This window comes from Homo sapiens, chromosome 13, assembly GCF_000001405.40.
Source record: "Homo sapiens chromosome 13, GRCh38.p14 Primary Assembly".
Taxonomy (NCBI): domain Eukaryota; kingdom Metazoa; phylum Chordata; class Mammalia; order Primates; family Hominidae; genus Homo; species Homo sapiens.
The window spans coordinates 73,941,145-73,960,605 of record NC_000013.11 but is presented as its reverse complement, the minus strand read 5'-3'; the positions used below and the strand labels follow the sequence as shown (position 1 = coordinate 73,960,605).

Here is a 19,461-nt window from a genome sequence, read left to right as displayed (position 1 = left end):
ATGTGTTTGTATGTATGTGCACATTGCTGGTTAGAGAACCAAAATGACTCTTTTACACTTTATGATTGCTAACCTGTATAGGAACTTTGTTTTTTTTATCCCAACCATTGGCTCTTCTTTTTTTTAGCCCACTTGACTCTTTTTTTGCCTCACATTTTGAACTGTCAAGCATTTATTTTAATTGTATAGATAACATTTAAAATTATTTTAAAAAGTGAGAAAACATGTCAAAGCAAGTGAAAAATCTCACTCCATGTTCTATCAGCTCCAATTTTGAGTGTTTATCATTTTAGCATGCTTTTTCTGTCTCATATGCATTATTTTTAAAGTTATAGGAACATACTGTTTTTTTCACTTCTTTGTGATTCGTCATTTATATCAAGACAAAGAGCTACATATTTAATATATAAATATTTGGTGGTTTGAATGTCTCATAATCTATTCATCTAGTTCTCAATTGTTTGACATTAGATTGATTTCAATTATTATTTTTAATACTGGAAGCAGGTCGATTGTTCAGTCACTTTTTGAGACTCACATTGGCTGTGAATATTGTTATTTTTCCAGGATGCCTGTAGGCCTGATGTTTCTCATCTATTTATGTATCTCCAGTTTTTTTCAGGGAGTTTAGTAGGGTTTCAAGTTAATGGTAAAACAAAAAAAGCTTGCATTTTGCGGTATTTGAGGCTGTTGATCCCGCAATTTTAACTTTCAAAAGGTGGTGGTGGTTTGCCATCGTCTGATCTTTCAGACTAAACTATTAGGAGCAAAATAAAGTTTTATTATGCATTGCCCTTTTAAAATCTAGAAGCAATATCTTTGTTTTTATACAGCATTTACCTGATAATGTGTTGAGAAATAAGGTTCCTAAAATGTCTCTTTATATTTGCCTGAAATAACCATAATGAGAATCACTTCATATGTAAATATATTACATGAGATATATAATTTTACATATGTAGTACATTACCATATACATGTACTATATTTAAACACATCTAATTATATATAATACTTTTAACTGCTATGTAAGTCACTTATCCTTATCTACTAGTAGACTTCATTTCTCCTTTAATATATCTAATATAAATAATATATATTTTATATAAAATGCAGACATATTTTCTAAGGCTTCCTTATGACCTTACATTTTATCTAGCATCAACAATTGCCAAGATTTTCCTCTGATGCTGGTTAAATTAGTTAAGCTGTAGACATAGAGGAACAATTTCCCTCTGTCCCAAAATGTCTTTGGTGGTGGGATGAAAGAAAATACCATCATATATGGGACAATGACAATTGGAATAGAGAGAAAAGGCCGGCTGTGACTGGCCAAGAATTGTGGTAACAAGTTTTATGTGGGGTAGCAAGGGAACAGTTGCTAGCCTGAGAAATAGGGTTGTGTCAATGATGATGTCATTCCTTGATGGAAAATTCATGATGCGGAGCAAGATGTGTCTTTCTTGCCTGCGTTTTTTTTTGGAAGGGGGGTGTGGAGGTCAGAGATGCTGAACTTGGTTTGGATTTGTTAGTTGTGCCATCCCCATGGAATGTCCAGTTGGAGATGTTAAGGGGTCAGTTGGAATATAGTTCTGGATCTTCGGGGATAAAGAGGCCAGTGCTAAAGATACAAAGTTAGGTTTCAGCAATTAGTTGCTGAAGTCTGCCTAGCAGATGAGATCACCTTCGTGTTTTCCAGTTGGGGCACACCTGAGATTGTGGATAGAGCAGTTCGTTGTTTGGGACTGACTCATACGCTAAGGACTTTTAACATCTCTAGCTTCTGGGTGATAAAGGAAAGTGGCATTCTTCCAATTTTATGACATTCAAAACTTCCCACTCCCCGCCACCTTTCAATTTCCAGAAAGATTGGGTGGAAACTACAGGTAAGATCATGGTACCAATTCAGTGTGAGAGCCACTGACATGATAATGTAGAACAGCTTTGTCCAAGAGATATAGAATACAATCCACATATGTAATCTTCAGTACTCTAGTAGACACTAAAAGAAGTTATGATTTTTGTTTTCTAGTAGACATTTTACAAGTTTAAAAAAAAAAATTGGCTGGGCACAGTGGCTCACGCCTGTAATTCCAGCACTTTGGGAGGCTGAGGCGGGCAGATCACCTTATGTCAGGAGTTCAAGTCCAGCCTGGTCAACATGGTGAAACCCTGTCTCTACTAAATATACAAAAATTAGCCAGGCATGGTGGTGTGTGCCTGTATCCCAGCTACTCGGGAGGTTGAGGCAGTAGAATCACTTGAACCCAGGAGGCGGAGGCTGCAGTGAGCCGAGATCGCACCACTGCACTCCAGCCTGGGCGACAGAGTGAGACTGTGTCTCAAAAGAAAAAAAAAAAGTTAAAAAAAATTAACCCAGTGTAATCAAAATACCATTCAACATGTAATTAATTCAAAAATTATGAGACATGCTAAATTCTATTTTTTATACTAAGTCTTCAAAATCCAATATGCTTTTTGCATACATCTAAATTTGGACTAGTCATGTCTCAGCTGCTCAGTAGTTGCAACAAGTGGCTACCCAGACAGCACAGATATAGACGGTGCAACAAAACTGCATGTGCGAAAAGAAGTGAATTTGTGGTTTGCTTTTCTGCATATCTCCTGTCTTCTAAAACCAATTCCCTCTTTTATTCCTGTGAATCAACAGTACGATCTTCTAGAAAGGATCCAACGTTTAAACCTGTGTTTCTTGCCCTACTGCCCAGCGTATCTTTTAATTTTTTATAAAGAGCACCCTTCCCTCGTTTCTTTAGCAATTTATTTACATAACTTGTGATCATTTTTATTGTTCTTCACAGAAACTAGATGGAACAACCACAAGGATATATTAAATTTTATGTCACTTTTTTCTAACAAAATTAATAAAATATAAACAGGTTTATATTTCAGTTCATATTGTGAAATATTTTGTTCTTGATACAGGGGTCACTCTTTGTTTTTGTGAAGGAATGCAAAATCTAAAGATCTTATCCAGCCAATCTGATGTAGAGCCAAGGATAAAACTCTGTCTTCTAGTTCCCTGTTGAAAGTTAAGTCACCATATTAATTTGGGTAATTGTAGTTACTTTGGAGACTTCTGAGGCTAATTTAGTAGATCCTCATTGGCCATGTCTAAGAATGGGGCCAGAGAGATTTCCTTAGTTGTTATATTAATATTGAAATCTTCAGGTTTCTTTCAGTTTCCATTGCTTGAACTAATAAGCAAATTTGCAGCCCTTTTCTGGGATCTTTGCACTTGTTTGTTGGAGAAACTTGGATATGCAGAAAGGATAGAAGGAATTTAAGGAAAATAATAAAATTATCTTTTAAAGTATTGCTAATTTCCCAGCAGATATATTCTGAAGCAAATTATAAGTATGATTTTTATATCAGGTGTTATTTTCTTTCAATATTGAGGTATTATTTTATTGGGAAGTATAATTCAACATAAAATTAAGGTTCCTTCCTTCCTCCTTTCCTTTTCTTTCTTTTCCTTTCTTTCCTTTCCTTTCCTTTCCTTTCCTTTCCTTTCCTTTCCTTTCCTTTCCTTTCCTTTCCTTTCCTTTCCTTTCCTTTCCTTTCCTTTCTTTTCCTTTCCTTTCCCTCCTTTCCCTTCCCTCCTTTCCCTCCTTTCCTTTCCCTTTTTTCCTTCCCTTCCCTCCCTTTCTTTCCTTCCTTTCTTTCACAGGGCCTTACTCTGTTGCCCAGACTGGAGTGCAGTGGAACAATTATGGGTCATAGCCTCGACCTCCCAGGCTCAAGTGATCATTTCACTTAAGCCTGATTAGCTGGGACTATAGGTGCACACCACCATGACCGTCTAGTTTTTTTTATTGTTATTTTTTGTAGAGATGGGGTCTTGCTATGTTGCCAGGGCTGGTCTGAAACTCCTGGGCTCAAGCAGTCCTCCTGCCTTGGCCTCCCAAGGTGCTGGGATTACAGATGTGACCCAGCATGCCTGGACAAAATTAAGGTTCTTTTCTAATGAGTTCATAGAATCAGCAATTATAAAACAGTGGTTCTGAAATGGGCTGCTTTACTACCTCTCCTCTGCAACATTTGGCTATTTCTGAAGGCATTTTTGATGGTTACAACTGAGGGGATGTTACTGGGATATAGTGGCAGAAGCCAAGGATGCTGCTAAGCATCCTACAATGTACAGGACAGCCCGGACAAGAAAGACTTATCTGGTGTAAATGTCTGTAGTGCAGATGTCAAGAAACCCTGGTCTCAAAGAATATGTGAGTTACAACAATGGACTTCCTCAAATATACTCTCTCTATTGGCAACATTTATTTTAGCCATATTCAGCATCAAATAGCAAAAGAGGGTAATAGAAACTTCCTGGGTATGATAAGTTATTCAGTTATTCAAAATTATACTGTTTCTATTTTTATGGGTCATGCTTATTAAGAGGCTGGCAGGAAGTAACAAGGCCTGAGTAAATGCTGTGCAGTTATATAATTCCTTAATTTAAAAATGTATTCCAAATTTCTGTTGAATGAATTTTGTTTCCTTTATGACTTTATTGTGGTACGTTTTAGAATTGGAGAAATACTCCAGAAAGGAAAAAAGAATGCTGGATTTAATTTATTTATGTACATGCATGTACATCCTACAGAAATTCCAAGAAGAGACAAGCATGGTTGGTAAAATGTGGAAAAGCGGAGGTGGGGAAAGAACATCGTCAGGGTGATGACAGGAACATGTGTAATGGCACAGAGGTGTTGGTATTGCTGACTTCATATTGCCCTAAATGCAGGCTAATTTTGAAATTTAGCAACTTATTTCCTTTGTAGTTCTTTTGATTTCCTCAAGTAATTTTGAAAGTTTTCCAGGGCTCAAATTACAGGCCACTTTGTGGATAACTTCTCCAGTAATCTGTTTGTTAAATACGTTCAGTAATAAATGTCTTTCTCTTAAACAGTATATTTCTGGATAATCACATAAAGGAGAACCAGTAAAGCTTTTTATTTAGCACTATGTCAAATATAGAATTTGCTTGCTAGGAAGCACTATCAGACACTTCATGGTTGTCTTTAGTAGTCAGAAAACATTAGATGTCCTCATTAGGATGAAGTGACTTGTATTTCTGTGTAATCGGTGTGTACATCGTCACAGTTTTAAACAGATAAAATAATTCATTGCTGCCATTTACCATAATTATATATTAATGTATTCCACAATTATGTATTAATTGTGTGGGTTAGTTTTCTGTCAATTCCTGTCATCATTTATAAAAAACAACTCTTAACATTTCTGTTTTAGTTATGTAATAGTTTTATAAAGAATATAACACACAAAACTTAGTGGTTTCTGCAAAGAGTCAAAGAAAATCAGGTTAGTACACCCATTCTAAAAATCAGTTTGGGAAGAATAAGTGAAATACCACTATTACTGCTATTACTAATTATAATTATTTAAATATTACCTATTAACATTTGTAAAAGACATTATGTGCTAAGCAGTTTATATACATTGCCTCTTTGAAGTCTTAAAAAAATTATATGAAGCAGAAATTTATCAGCACTTTACAGATAAGAAAACTGAAACCAGAAGAAAGTCTCATACACCTGGACTTATATACATGGTAGAGACTAAACCAGGAAGTCTGATCATCAGGCCCATGCTCCAAGGCAATGTCCTATTCTAACTTGTACTCTATGCAATAATGAAAGTGTACAGAATTCTTGGGGATATTTGGGTGAAATGAATTAGATATTTAACAGCATTGCCAATAAAAATGTCAAATTAGTACAGTAATTGGATTATACGTAAAATTTAATATAACTAAAGACATCATTTGGGAAATCTGGAAAAATCTTAACTTGGAAGTGGATATTCTTGAAAAATTGATAGATTATATATTGGGTCAAGTGTATGCATTTGGCCATAGAAATGCAAGATATCTTTCTTCTCTGCATTGTGAGCATCCAGAGTGTTGGTGGGAAAAAGAGGAAAGGCATGGCCATTCTTGTTAGGTGTCTGACATGACTGTCTAGACAATGCAAACTGCTACAACTTAGTTAGTATTGAAATAATCTTTTAGTCCTAACTACTTTTGTTATACCTTGTAATAACAAGGCAAACACTACGTCATGCTTTTATGTGCTTTGATAACCTTTCTTGGATGAAGTAAAAATCTAAAGATCATTTTTTCTGCCTCACTTTTTTTTGGAAACATACATTCCACTAGAAACCAATACCATGCTCAAGGTTTTCAGAGGAAGATAAAATTACATATAAGCACAAAGTTTTAACTAAATATTTAAATTACAAATATATGAAGAGAATGAATGTAGATTCTTAGAAAAAGACAAAACCGGGCTGGGTGCGGTGGGTTTCGTCTGTAATCCCAGCACTTTGGGAGGCCCAGGTGGGCGGATCACAAAGTCAGGAGACCGAGACCATCCTGGCTAACATGGTGAAACCCCGCCTCTACTAAAAATACAAAAAATTAGCCAGGCGTGGTGGCGGGTGCCTGTAGTCCCAGCTGCTCCGGAGACTGAGGCAGGAGAATGGTGTGAACCCGGGAGGTGGAGCTTGCAGTGAGCCGAGATCACGTCACTGCACTCTAGCCTGGGCAACAGAGTGAGACTCCGTCTCAAAAAAAAAAAAAAAAAAAAAAAAAAGAAAGAAAAAACAAAACCTAATTACTTAGTTTACTTGTTTAGCAGTGTGCACATTTTTCTGGCTGCCAAAGAAAAAATTAAGGTTGCTTGCTCTTTCTTGTTTTCATTGGAATGGTCACACTTTAAAAACTTAACTTGGATTTTTATTATTCCTATACATTCTTTTATTTTTCCCAACTCTTCAGCACTATTTTTTTCCAGGCTATGCAGGAGCTAAACACTCACTGATCCATGTTGTAGAAAGTTAATCCATTTTGGGTTTGATAAGGAGCAACTTGAAATCATTGTACACAAGAAAAGGTGGAAATTTAGGTCAATAATTATTTCCTTTGTTTCCCACAGAAAATATATGACTTAATACTTAATAGTAATCTTCATTTTCTCTTGACACAAAAGACCAGTGATGTTATTTCATTACATACTCCCTTCAGTGTTGTGAATGTTTTTTTCATTACTATTCAAACAACTTTTCATAAAGGGAAATGACCAATGAATATGTTAATGTACAGTACTCAAACTTCTACTTTGGCAAATAGCAATTTGTATTTTGTTTTTTGGTTTTGATAACCATGAGTTTGTAGAATAAAATGGTAGTAAATTTTTTTTGAAAATGTGGCTAATCAGAGGATTGGTTGATAGCATTTTTTTTTTTAATTTTAACCAAACTTGTATTTCCATGTTTGGATAAATTTGACTTTATTAGTCTTTTTTATATGATTTGAACCTGCGCAGCTTAAGAGAAATCTTTCCCTCTGTGTAACAGATTTTAGGTAAGCAAAATATATTGAAATTAAATACTATACCCAGATATTCATGTATCCCAGAATGTAGTAGGTCCTTTGAGGGATATAGGAGGATTGTGACATGGTTTTCTTTTCCTATTTGGTTTCCTGTCTTAACCTTAGTGGAAAATCTAGAAAAATCTTTGTCATTCTTGACACTCTTCTCCCAGCTCTTTCTTACCACCAGCACTTCCTTCATCTCAGTCATCAAAGGCTGTACAGCTCTGAACTGTCTCTCAAATATTTTTCCTCCTCTTTCTTCCCACTGCCACTGTGACCTCACCACCTCTTCCCATGTCCTGTTGTGGTGGGCTGTGAGCTGGCTGCAGTTTCTCTTGTATCACATCAGACATCTTTGTAAGTCAGCTTCCAAATTGCTTCTAGTCCTGTCTTTCTGTAAACAACGCTTAAACTTAGCTTTTGCTTAATAAGCCTTCATGACTCGTCACCACCTGTTATGTGATGCCCATACACTTTTCTTCCCCTTTTACGTCAAGCTGTCTTAAGGCAGGGAGCCTTTCCGTCTTGTTCACTTGCACCCCTAGCAAGTAGCACCCAACAGGCATTACAGAAACATTTTTGAAGAAATGAATTACCATAACATATAAGAAGCTTGATATGGCTCGGCTCTGTGTCTCCACTCAAATCTCATGTCAAATTTTAACCTTATTGTTGAAGGTGGGGCCTGATGGGAGGTGATTGGATCATGGGGGCAGTTTCTAATGATTTAGCACCACTGCCCTACTGCTGTCTTGTGAGTGAGTTCTCAGGAGATCTGGTTGTTTGAAAGTGTGTAGCAACTCCCCCTTCGCTCTCTTCCTCTGCTCCAGCCATGTAAGATGTGCCTCCTTCCTCTTCGCCTTCTGCCATGATTGTAAGTTTCCTGAGGCCTCCTCAGCCATGCTTCGTGTACAAGCCTGTGGAACTGTGAGTCAGTTAAACCTCATTTCTTTATAAATTACCTGGTATCCGGTAGTTCTTTAGAGCAATGCAAGAAGGGACTGATACAACCCTTCATGACCTGACTCCAAGTAACTTTTCTGGTCTTTTCTCTAGTTACTTCTCCAATGAACATTATGTTTTAGCCATGCCAAATTCTGTTTTATTGTTCACCAATATGGGGAATTTCATATCTCTTTAAGATTTTGCCTATGCTCATCCCATCTGTCAACAACAAGCTTATCTCCTAGATCCTGGAGAATGATTGGATCTTATATTTTTTTATTAGTCCAACAGATATTTATTTACTTAATGGTGTAAGTTTCAAGGCTAGGATAGGAGTACTGTTACGAACAAAAAGAGAACTCTCTGTCCTCCTGGAACTTATGTTCTAGTGTAATGGCATATAAAGAGTCTGTCAGGTAGTGGTGAATACTGTGATGGAATAGAATGCACATAGTCCTGGAGGGAGGAGCATTTTTGATATGGTCAAGATGTAGCCTGAACAGAATGGTGGACAATGGGGTTGGGGAAGTGGTTAGAGGCACCTGCTGTAGGTCAGGGCAAGAACTTTAGAATGAGCTTAGAGCTCTCCTCTCCATTGTATATGGGATCAGTTTGCCTTTGCCTTGCTGCTTCCACCTCAGCCGTGGTACTTGGTCTCTTGATATATCAGGAGCCTGAAACCCACTAGCCAGAGTTGCTTGCACAGTTCTAGGCTTACACAGCTTTGTAGCAGTGCCAAAGTACCCTGTGCTTTGAGGATCTCTATCTCTGGAAGCAATGAACAATAGATTGTCATCCTGAATTTAGACTCATTGTCATTTTCATAATCTTGGACAGATTATATAATCTCTCCAAACTTTAATAATTTTCTCATCTAAAATAGCCGTAGTTAAAAAAAGTTGATGTGCGATTAAATGACTGGAATGAAACTCCACAGAACTTTCTCTTTTTTGCCCACTGATATATCATAAATAACTGGAACAGTGACTGGCCTTCAATAAGTATATTGGGAATGAATCAATGTATGAATGATGCAATGAATGTAAAGCACATGAAACAACCCCTGGTACATGTGTTGAATAAATGTTATTGTTATTATAACTGTTATCATAATTTGTAAAATTAGGGAAACTTGTGAGGATATTGTGGTTGTATTGCAAATGTACTTCTTGATCGTCTATGAGGCCTGCCTGCTGCATTGGCACTTCTGCCCAGGCTCATGGTGCCTGGCTTCTGTGTCCAAGCATGTGCCCAGGGAAGGAGGCCTGGCATCATGGACTGGAGCACCCAGCCAGCTTTCTGGTTTCTCTCTACTCCTGTTTCCTAGCTCTGGACTGTTGTGGGTAGGTCCTGAGCATTAGTTTCTGCTAGCCTCATCTCCCAGAAAGGATCTTGTTTCTGGCTTCCTTTTCCAGGACTGAAGTCAATTCTTTTCTTTACCTGACATCAAACCCACTTGTAAGTCCATCTCTACCCTAATACCTGCCTCCACATGTCAGATCTCTCCTCATAATGTTAATACCTGTTCAGCTGAACTGAAGTTTTGTCCTCCTTCTCTAGGGATTGGTTGGTGGTAGGTTAATACTTCTCTTGCCATGATGTTTTCTTGCTTTCTGAACACTCCTCTTATCCATGGTTCATGACTGTGGTGCAGATGGAATGGAATGACGGGCAAGTAGAGGCCCTCACTGAATATTTAAGGAAAGATTTAGCCAACTCACAACCCCCAAGTGTGTGCAGTTTTTCAGAGTATGAATGACAGAAATACTTTTCTAGTACAATTTGTGTAAATGCTGGGGTGAAAAGTGTTATTCGGAAGCTCAGATGTCATTTTAACCATCCTCTGCCCAATGAACAAAGGAAAGTAGGCATGCATCTGTTGTAATCCTTAAAAATGTATTGAGGCCTTTGGAAATGCCAATAGTAAATTTTGGCTCCCAGTTTGGATTGGATTGGTTGCCCTTTTGAAAAGCATCCATTTGCAACTTGAATAAGAACATCTGCTTTTCATGGCTAGTTCAGCAACTATCACTAATAGGAAATATTTTTTAAAATATTAGTATAAACTGCACATTGTTGTGATAGCTTGGCACTTTACCAACATAGGAAACAGACTGATAATTGCTATCAGGAAATTAAAAATTGCTGCATTACATAGACAGTTTTACCAGTCTTTAGGAGAGATACTGTTCCATATGCTTCAATGTGAGGATTTTAATGGAAGGATTCTGTTTTTGAAACCGAAGACAAATATTTCAGAAGAATGTAATTTGGATCATTGAAACATATGGGGGATTTTAGTTGAGAGTCCCAATAGGCCTATGGTTTTGGCTCTTATTTCTGTTAATAAAATACAGTTATTGACATTGATATCCATTCTCCTAAGATGCAAAAGAATGTAAGATGAAAGGCTGGGCTAGAATGGCAAAGTCTGTGTTTGAAGGGATGTTTATTTTGTCCCACTTCTGGTACTTTGATTAGTTATATGCCCTCTATGAAACTGAGTTATCAGCATGAGGATATGTGAGTAGAGAAAAGGATGTTTTTACACTTAGCCATTATAAATTAAATGTAATGCTGAGAGGCATCTGTCCTGAGTATAAAATGTAGAAGGTGAAGTTAGCGTTTCATTGAAGGCCATGAAACCATTTTGAAAATACTGAGTGAGCCACCAAAGGCAAGAATATTTTTTAAAAGCTGGGTAGCAAATGAAGTTACTGGCTAAATTAATTATGAGATCTTCCTAGGATAGAAACATATAATCTCATCAAGTTAAGAAAATATGTGGAAAACTTGACTTAAAGGGAAAAAAAATATTAATAGCTTTGAAATAGCTTTGAAACCAGAGACTGATTCTCCAAATCGTTGCTACTCACCAGTGACCACAAGTTTCACATTTAGTTCCATAGCTAAATTAGCCCAGCTCAGGGAGGAGCTGTTACTGAGATTCCACAATGTCTCTGTTGGGACCTTCAATAAGGTGTTCATATTTTTTTTCTATTGTATTAGGAGTGCATATTGATATAGAGAAAGGTAAGTGAGTGGACAGGTAGGTACATAGAGTATGGTGATTAAGAGTGCTGGCTTGGGGTCACACTCACTGGTTTTCAATACAGCTGTATTGCTTACTAATTGTGTGGGCTTGGGCAATTTAACCTCCTTATGTCTCAGATGCCTCAACATCAGATAATACAGCATCAACCTCTTGGGTTGCAGTGAGGATTAGATGAGCAGCTATATGCACAGCTCTTGGCACATGATCTGGCTCACAGTAAATATGCAAATATCTGTATTATTTTTGTTACCAAGATAATGACAAAATGACTGTTGCTTCATGCCACTGTGTGATTTGTTGCATGGCAGTAGACAACTGAAATAATTACCTAAACATGATTTCAATCTATTAGGTTTGTTAACCCTTACCCAGAGAGAGGGAGGAATTCACTAATGTGCTTGTATATAAGCAAAGGTTTTGCAATTAGTTGTTAACCTGTTAGTGGAACTGGCACATCTGCAATAGGACTTGAAAAAAATTGCTGTTATTGGTGTTTGTGGTTGTTAGGGTAGAAGTGAGAGAAGTTGAATTCTCTAAGAAATCTTTTTTATGCAAACCCCTAATTGCCCTGTAATCTGATTCTGATACTTTTTCTATAGGAAGAGGTACCCACAGGATGTTACTTTTAACCAGTTGGCACTCTTGCATTGCAAACCTTTAAGAATCTGCTATGCCATCCTGGTGGCTCATGCCTGTATTCCCAGCACTTTGGGAGGCCAAGGCAGATGGATCACTTGAGGCCGGGAGTTCGAGAACAGGCTAGCCAACAAGGTGAAACCCCGTCTCTACAAAAAATAGAAAAAATTAGGCGTGGTGGCGCATGCCTGTAATCCCAACTGCTTGGGATGCTGAGGCACAAGAATTGCTTGACCCTGGGAGGCAGAGATTGCAGTAAGCTGAGATCGTGTCACTGCACTCCAGCCTGGGTGATAGAGTGGGACTCTGTCTCAAAAAAAAAAAGAATCTGCTATGAAAGTGTCCCAACCAACTTGGTGCAGTGAATCTTGACTGTTCATATGTCCCTTACATCACTGTCTAGCATAATGTAGATGTGGGGCAGGGGCGACATATTCTTATTTCTCATCACCTGTAGCTGAACGTGAAGATTTAAAGTGGATGTGTATTTCAATAAAATATCATATTTCCTGTATTTACAAAGAGCAAAACAAATAGCAGCAGTTATTTTTGACTTATGACAGGAACCCTTGTTTAAAAGCTTAGAACTGTTGAGTATTGCCTAGCTAGCTCCTTATTACTCCATTTGTGCAAAATGAGTCAAGGTCAGGAGGAGAGAAAGGAAATGACCTGCCTTGGGAGGTTAGGAGGGCACATTGTAGGAGTTGACCTGGAAAGTCACCCCATTGTATGTTTTTATGAGTTCTGGTCATTGAAGATCAGTCCGTTTCCTTGCTGCACATTACATTCAGAATATTTTGAGATGTTGGGATCAACGACTGTTGTGATTATATGGTTTTTGACAGGGAGAGCGAATGTCAGCTCGACTACTGTGTTGCCAACTCTTTTTTTTTTTTTTTTTTTTGAGACCGTCTCCCTCTGTCGCTCAGGCTGGAGTGCAGTGGCACCATCTTGGCTCACAGCAACCTCTGCCTCCCGGGTTCAAGCGATTCTTCTGCCTCAGCCTCCTCAGTAGCTGATACTACAGGCGCCCACCACAATGCCTGGCTAATTTTTGTATTTTTTGTAGAGACAGAGTTTGACTATGTTGGCCAGGCTGGTCTCAAACTCCTGAGCTCAAGTTACCTGCCCACCTCAGCCTCCCAAAGTGTTGTGATTACAAGAGTGAGCCACCACGCCCGGCCATTGCCAATTCATATTTGGTAAATGGGATATCAAGATTATCCTTCTCATCCCGTGCACATGGAATTGGTCAACAGCCAACTAACAAATTCTATGGATGATTTTTCATTAATTCAAACAATTCACTCATGAAACAAGTGTATAAGCATACATAAAGTATTTCTTGAGGGTTGTGTAACATCAAAATGTTTGTTATAAATATACAAAGAATACTACATTACTAAAATTGATAACTGTAATTTTATTCATCTCTTAGGAATCAGTTGAGCTATTGATTCCACAGCAAATGTGTTTTGATTAAGATCATGGCAAGATATGTTTGACAGCAGTTCCAGATTATTAGAATCTAGTACATATTTAAAGTCTACATTCATCTGAGATTATATGTATCTGATCTTAGTTCAGTGAGATACATCTATCAATATTTTGCTTCAAGGACTGTATTGTCAATGCTGTGTAATTACCATGTGTTGTATAAAAATCACACACCTTCCTAGATAGTTTGGAGCATGCTGTGATACTGAACGCTTTTGTTTATGAGGATTGAGGTTAGATCCGTGAATGCAGAGTTGAATATGCTTCACATGTGTTTGCAACAGGCATATATACAGATTGAATCTGCACTAGTTGAAAGAGTTTAACAGTTGAAGCTTAGTTCCCCAGCTGTGAACATTGTTATTTATGGTGTTTATTATAGTTGTGGCTGTGAATGATTCTAGAAAATCATAGAAAGATTTCCAGGAAATCTTGATTTCTTAAAAAAATCGAGAATGTTTTATTTTTTTCACTTGTACGTGAAACTAAACCGTACATCTTGACTTTATTGCATGTAGAATTATTCAAGAACAATATAAATTTAAAGAAAAACCATCATGAATATATAGTGATACTTAAATGTGTTAAGTGGAACACAGACCCAGTCAGGTTTTTATGATTTATCAGTTTTTAACTTCAAAGACTCTGGTTAGCTTCCATTTTTTAAACTAATGAGTTTATCACAGCCAGTGGGGAAAATGGTTAAAGTATATCAGCTGTAAATTGGTACAAAGCACTAAAAGGGACATTAGCCTCTAATCAGATTCTAACAGTTCATTAAATCTGCTTTTCCAGAATCGCTCTTTGTCTTTTCTCCTCTTTTGCTTGGGCCTTCCTTATAAGGCATCTTCTTGCCTTCTCATCTGGGCAAGAACTCCTCCAGGGTAGGAAGCAATATCAGCTCATCCTTCATTGTCTACCAGCCAAACAGCCTACAGGGTGCTTTGTTAAGGTGGATTCCTAGAGCTGCTGCCAGACTCCGGAGAGTCGAGGGCTGGCCGGCTGCAGGAAGGCTTTCCTGAGACTGGATGGTGGTAAGCCAAGCTGGCTGCTGCCAACCTCGGAAGCCAGTGACACATTAGGATTTGAGATCCCTGCCCCATGTGAAAACAACCCACAGGCCTCCATGAAAGGGTTTCAAGTTTAGAACAACTCACCCAAGCTCACCAGTAATATACCACAGTTCCTTCTGCTCTAAATTATCTATTAAGATATAAAATTCTGAAAAAAGGGACAAGTCAAAAGCAAACATTTTTAAAAAGTATCCTGCCAGTTTTGAAAATATTGAACATTTATGGGGAAATAATATTGACAGTAATTTGTTTTCTTCTTTTTATCACCTTATAGACTAGGTGGTGTAGACTTTTTAAATGCTCATTAACTCCAGAGTAAATTTGCTTTTTTTTTGTTGATTCCTTGGAGGCTCTGTATGTTTTATTTCTTGGAACATTTTTCTTAACAAAAAGAAGAGTCAAGAAATATGAGAAATAGTTTCACTATACTGCACTCTGTTGGTATTATTTGGTAATAAGAACATGTAATTTATGATTTGTTGAAAGGAGAGTCGTTTTTATTTATTTATTTTTGAGATGGAGTTTCACTCTTGTTCCCCAGGCTGGAGTGCAATGGCGTGATCTCGGCTCACTGCAACCTCCACCTCCAAGGTTCAAGTAATTCTCTTGCCTCAGCCTCCCGAGTAGCTTGGATTACAGGTGCCTGCCACCACGCCCAGCTAATTTTTGTATTTTTAGTAGAGACGGGGTTTCACCGTGTTGGCCAGGCTGGTCTCGAACTCCTGACCTCAGGTGATCCACCCGCCTCAGCCTCCCAAAGTGCTGGGGTTACAGGCGTGAGCCACTGTGCCTGGCCCAGTTGTTCTTATTTAACCTGCTATTTTGTAGGAAAGCAACCATATTAAAGGTGAACACCTGAAGATTTAGAAATTATACTTATCTTTTTCACCAGGTAGGCAAAATATTTAGAAACTGATTTTTTTTTCTCTTAATAAGACTACTTTAGTGTCCTGTGGTTACATTCTGTAATTAAGTAAAAATAACCATTCTAAAATCTCAATCAAATTTAGTTCTGTCAGATTTGTAGTTGAGTCAATATGTAACAGAGAAATTAGCATTCTAAACATGTTTAAAAATATGAGCCTGATTTGGGCCTTAGGCGAGCACTGAAGTGTGATTCTGACTCCCTTCCTGGGTTGCTGACTGTAGAAAATCCCCAAGGCGGTGACAATTACGTAGAAAATAACCTTGATTTAATCTTTTATAAATGGTGTTTGAAATGTTATTGAGCTACAATATAGATAAGATTTTCTTTTCAAGAGGTGGTAAATTGAGCAAAACATATACCAGAATAAAGACCAAATAATTGTTTGTTATTTAGTTTAGCCTAAAAATTCACTCTTAATCTAAGATTTATGTTGGTTGTTTTTAAAGTAGATATTTGGAGGTTGATAGGTAGAAATTTTCATTTGACCAGAATTGCCATGACATAAAAATTAAATGTATGGAATTATATTGATTTTAAATGATTTAGGCTTTGACTAATATGAGAGTTTATAAATTTTTATGTGATTTTCTCCTTTATGGATATCTTTGCACAATGCAATTTCCAGAACTAAGGGAAGAGAAAAACTTGCCTTCTGTTTCCTTCCACTATTGTGAAAGTGTGATGAATTGTTGCAGCCCCATATAAATTAACGTAAGGTTTCCATACTCCAGTTTATTACAGTCTGACCTCCAACCCAGAGGTCAGAGAATCAGACTGCTTAATTCAACTGCTTGGTCATTATTTCAAATGAAAGTTCAGAGTAGGGGGATAATTGGTTATGCTGATATTTTCATTTAATTATTCTTTATTGTTTAAAAAATTAGGTTAGCAATACTAAATGTACTACAATGAGGGAAGACTCTCCCAGAGGTCCTCTTTTGAATGCTTTAGAGCTGAATCTTTCTCTCTCCCTTCTATTCTCAGAATATCAACACCTTTGAGAACAGAATGTTAATGCTTGATGGGATGCCGGCAGTCAGAGTCAAAACAGAGCTTTTGGAATCTGAACAAGGGGTAAGCACAAGTTTCCAGCAATGCCCCACTCCTTTTGATGAGAGTGGCATTCTTCTGCAGAGCATCCTGAGGTTTGCAGAGCACTTCTACGGTTTCCCTTGCTTAAGCTTTTCTCTCTCAGGTTAAAACAAACAAAAATCTGAGATTGTGGTTGATCTGTACCCATTTGCAACTTCAACTATTATTTCCTTGGAAGGGATAGTATCCTAAAATTTGGAAGGCATAGTGACATTATTAGAACCATATGGCTATATCTAAATTGGTAAATGATTTGAAAAGCTAATAAAAATCCAAAGCAAAGAGGAAGTATTAAAAAATAAGGTGGGACTATAACCTCAGTGTCATCATAGTTTGGTTGATTCTAATCAGGAAATGACAAAGTACCGCTATGAGAATGTTACTGTTTGTTGGATGGGTTTCTCTTTTGACATTTGTACTTGCCCTTTCTTACTGTAGGAGTACTAGGGGATAGTTGATGAGGTCACTGAATTTGAAAAATTTCTAAAAGCGAAAGAAAGATTATTTAACAGTACATAGCCAAACCAATGAATTCATTTATGGGTACTGAAAATACAAGGACTATGAGTGCATATTTTTTTAATGACATAGATTTTATAATGAACATTTATGGCTTCACTGGTTTAGTTAAGAGCATAAGTGCAGGATAATTGGTTGCAGCATTGGCAACTTTAAGAGATAAAGTGCTGCTCATGTGGCTGAGTGCCTGTTGGCTACTTATTTTATTAAACCACCACCACTGAGGCAGCACAGGTGACTGATAGAAGGACATAAATACGTATATAATCTTTACCTTATCAGTGTCTCTCTTATTAAAAAATCATAACTAAAAATTAGCAATGTTTTGTACTTGAACATTCAAAAGAAATTTTAAATGTGAATAAAATCTCACTGTTAGAGTATAAAAATCAATGTGGATGAGTACATCCGGGATCCCACTCAAAGGGTTAGGATATTAATGTCCCAAAAGGATTTCATAATGAGAACATTCAAGGTTATGGATCCAGATGGTAGTATTTAGAGGGTCTCTTCAATAACTTCTGCATACCTGAGCATCACATAGCAGGCTGTGTGGCATCTCAATATAATTTCTGTTTTTCAGTGTAAGCCTGTGTTTGAACAGAGCCTCATCGTGGTAGAGGATGTCATTTCACCTCTATGTTCTGGGTTGAGTTTTGTAGCTTTGAAATGAACTTTGTGGAGTATGTCAACCAATAACATGACTCCACAGTCCTATACATGATATAATGACCAATTCATAACAGATTCAGCCCAAGACACAGGCAGTAGAGGATCATGAAGGAGAAGACCGTGGCAATTACTAACATTGGTTCAGTATAGAAAACCTTTCAGAAAAAGTCATGTGTTCAACTGGATTTTCTAGCTGGATTCACTAAGTTAAATTGTATATACCTTCCAAACCTTATAGATAGTTTCAACCTTTATTGATTAACCTAACCATGGGGAGGATTTGTCTTAGTTCTTTAGAGTTCTGTTTTCTTAATTCATTTCTTAATCTAGTTGCATTATCATGAGTTTAGTAAAATAAACTTCTGCTCAGCTCATATAGAGCCTGGCGTCTCATTCAGAAAGGATAGCCTTTTCCCACTGCTCATGGGAAAAAAAAGTGAAAAAGCAGTCTGCATTTCACAATAATTTCTTCAACTTGAAATAACAATCTGTTCAAACTGTGCATGTTGGAGGAAGGCAAAAACTATAGCAAACCAGTCAGAAACTTAGCCCCAGACCAATGGTCAAAGCCAGGATCGTGGGTTGCTGTCACCAGTCTTGGTAATCTTTAACAATATCCATATAGTTCTTTCCCCTTTATTTTTTGGTTTCAAGGTAAGGTCTACCTGAAATATTTAGGTGCACAAAAAACAAAAGCCACTATTCCCAGCAGTTTTGCAGTGTGAATAAGAACTCCATGTCACATTATTTATAGAAAGCATTTTTTTTGTCCTTAGAGAGGGACATGAAAAGTTGTGGGTTCATAGGTATTGCCTAATGCCTGTTCATGAAAATCGATTTTCCTCCTTGTGAGTGGAGCTGATGTTGGTATTTTAACTCTTATTTAGATTCTGCATGTTGGAGGGAAATAGAACTTTTTTTTTTCCTTTGGGTTTATGTGTACCTCTTAAATATATGACAGATACAATTTCATTCTCTTTTGTAGCAAAGCTTCAAGAGAATCAGCCTGTAGTGTTTAATGAAATGTATAATGATTTAACTCTATTAGAATACAATAATTTTAACAATTTTGTAATGCTTTAAATCAACTCTTGTTTGAAACAAAGTCTAGAATTTTGGTGACTTTCATTTTTGGCCACTTTGCTGGGTTTTTCATTGAGAAGATGCGTTGGGTGTTATATACCATATAATGTTCAGAATCTTAGAACTATTTTTAGATAAGGAGAGCCAGAATTTGGAATATTTCATGACTTCCTCATTTATGACTTAAAGGCTGGTTGAAGTTTAATTCTTTGTAAGAAAAACACATTAGTGAAATTTCAATAAATAATTACACTCACATGTATAATTATGGGCATTTATTTATCTATTTTTTACGACATAGAGTTTTGCTTGCTATGTTGCCCGGGTTGGACTCAAAGTCTTGGGTTCAAGTGATCCTCCTGCATAAGCCTCTCAAGTAGCTGGGGTTATAGACATGTGCCACCATGCCCAGCTGATTATGGACTTTTGAAAAAGATGAGACATGTTAGTTAACAGTGAACAAAAAGCGATAGAAACTTGTCTGTGTCACAACAATGAATGAGAAAGCTTGAAGAAAGCCTGAAGGTGGTACATTGGTTGGAAT

General features: G+C 37.2%; 1 protein-coding gene across 20 annotated transcripts in view, besides 3 other annotated features; it reads left to right on the top strand.

Annotated features, from left to right (window-relative positions):
- Positions 1-19,461, top strand: part of KLF12 (KLF transcription factor 12) — a 619,957-nt gene that overhangs the window by 345,440 nt on the left and 255,056 nt on the right. For 14 of the 20 annotated variants that reach the window (NM_001400153.1, NM_001400139.1, XM_011534909.3 and 11 more), the window contains one exon: positions 16,536-16,625. The exons of 2 other annotated variants lie outside the window; for them this stretch is intronic. In NM_001400153.1, coding sequence (NP_001387082.1) covers positions 16,536-16,625 — 90 coding nt within the window. Of the gene's footprint in view, positions 1-6,667; positions 8,345-11,371; positions 11,396-15,385; positions 15,516-16,535; positions 16,626-19,461 lie in introns of those variants that run through there. 4 more of the 20 variants (XM_047430083.1, XM_047430084.1, XM_011534910.3 and 1 more) reach the window with 3 other exon arrangements.
- Positions 4,369-4,538: an enhancer, noted in NCBI's record as "experimental_33301 CRE fragment used in MPRA reporter constructs". NCBI's record gives its function as "activates a minimal promoter by MPRAs in K562 erythroleukemia cells, with activity observed for the introgressed 13:74530290 variant allele {active_cell/tissue: K562}" and the evidence as "EXISTENCE:reporter gene assay evidence [ECO:0000049][PMID:34662402]".
- Positions 4,586-4,755: an enhancer, noted in NCBI's record as "experimental_33300 CRE fragment used in MPRA reporter constructs". NCBI's record gives its function as "activates a minimal promoter by MPRAs in K562 erythroleukemia cells, with activity observed for the introgressed 13:74530073 variant allele {active_cell/tissue: K562}" and the evidence as "EXISTENCE:reporter gene assay evidence [ECO:0000049][PMID:34662402]".
- Positions 6,325-6,494: an enhancer, noted in NCBI's record as "experimental_33299 CRE fragment used in MPRA reporter constructs". NCBI's record gives its function as "activates a minimal promoter by MPRAs in K562 erythroleukemia cells, with activity observed for both the introgressed and non-introgressed 13:74528334 variant alleles {active_cell/tissue: K562}" and the evidence as "EXISTENCE:reporter gene assay evidence [ECO:0000049][PMID:34662402]".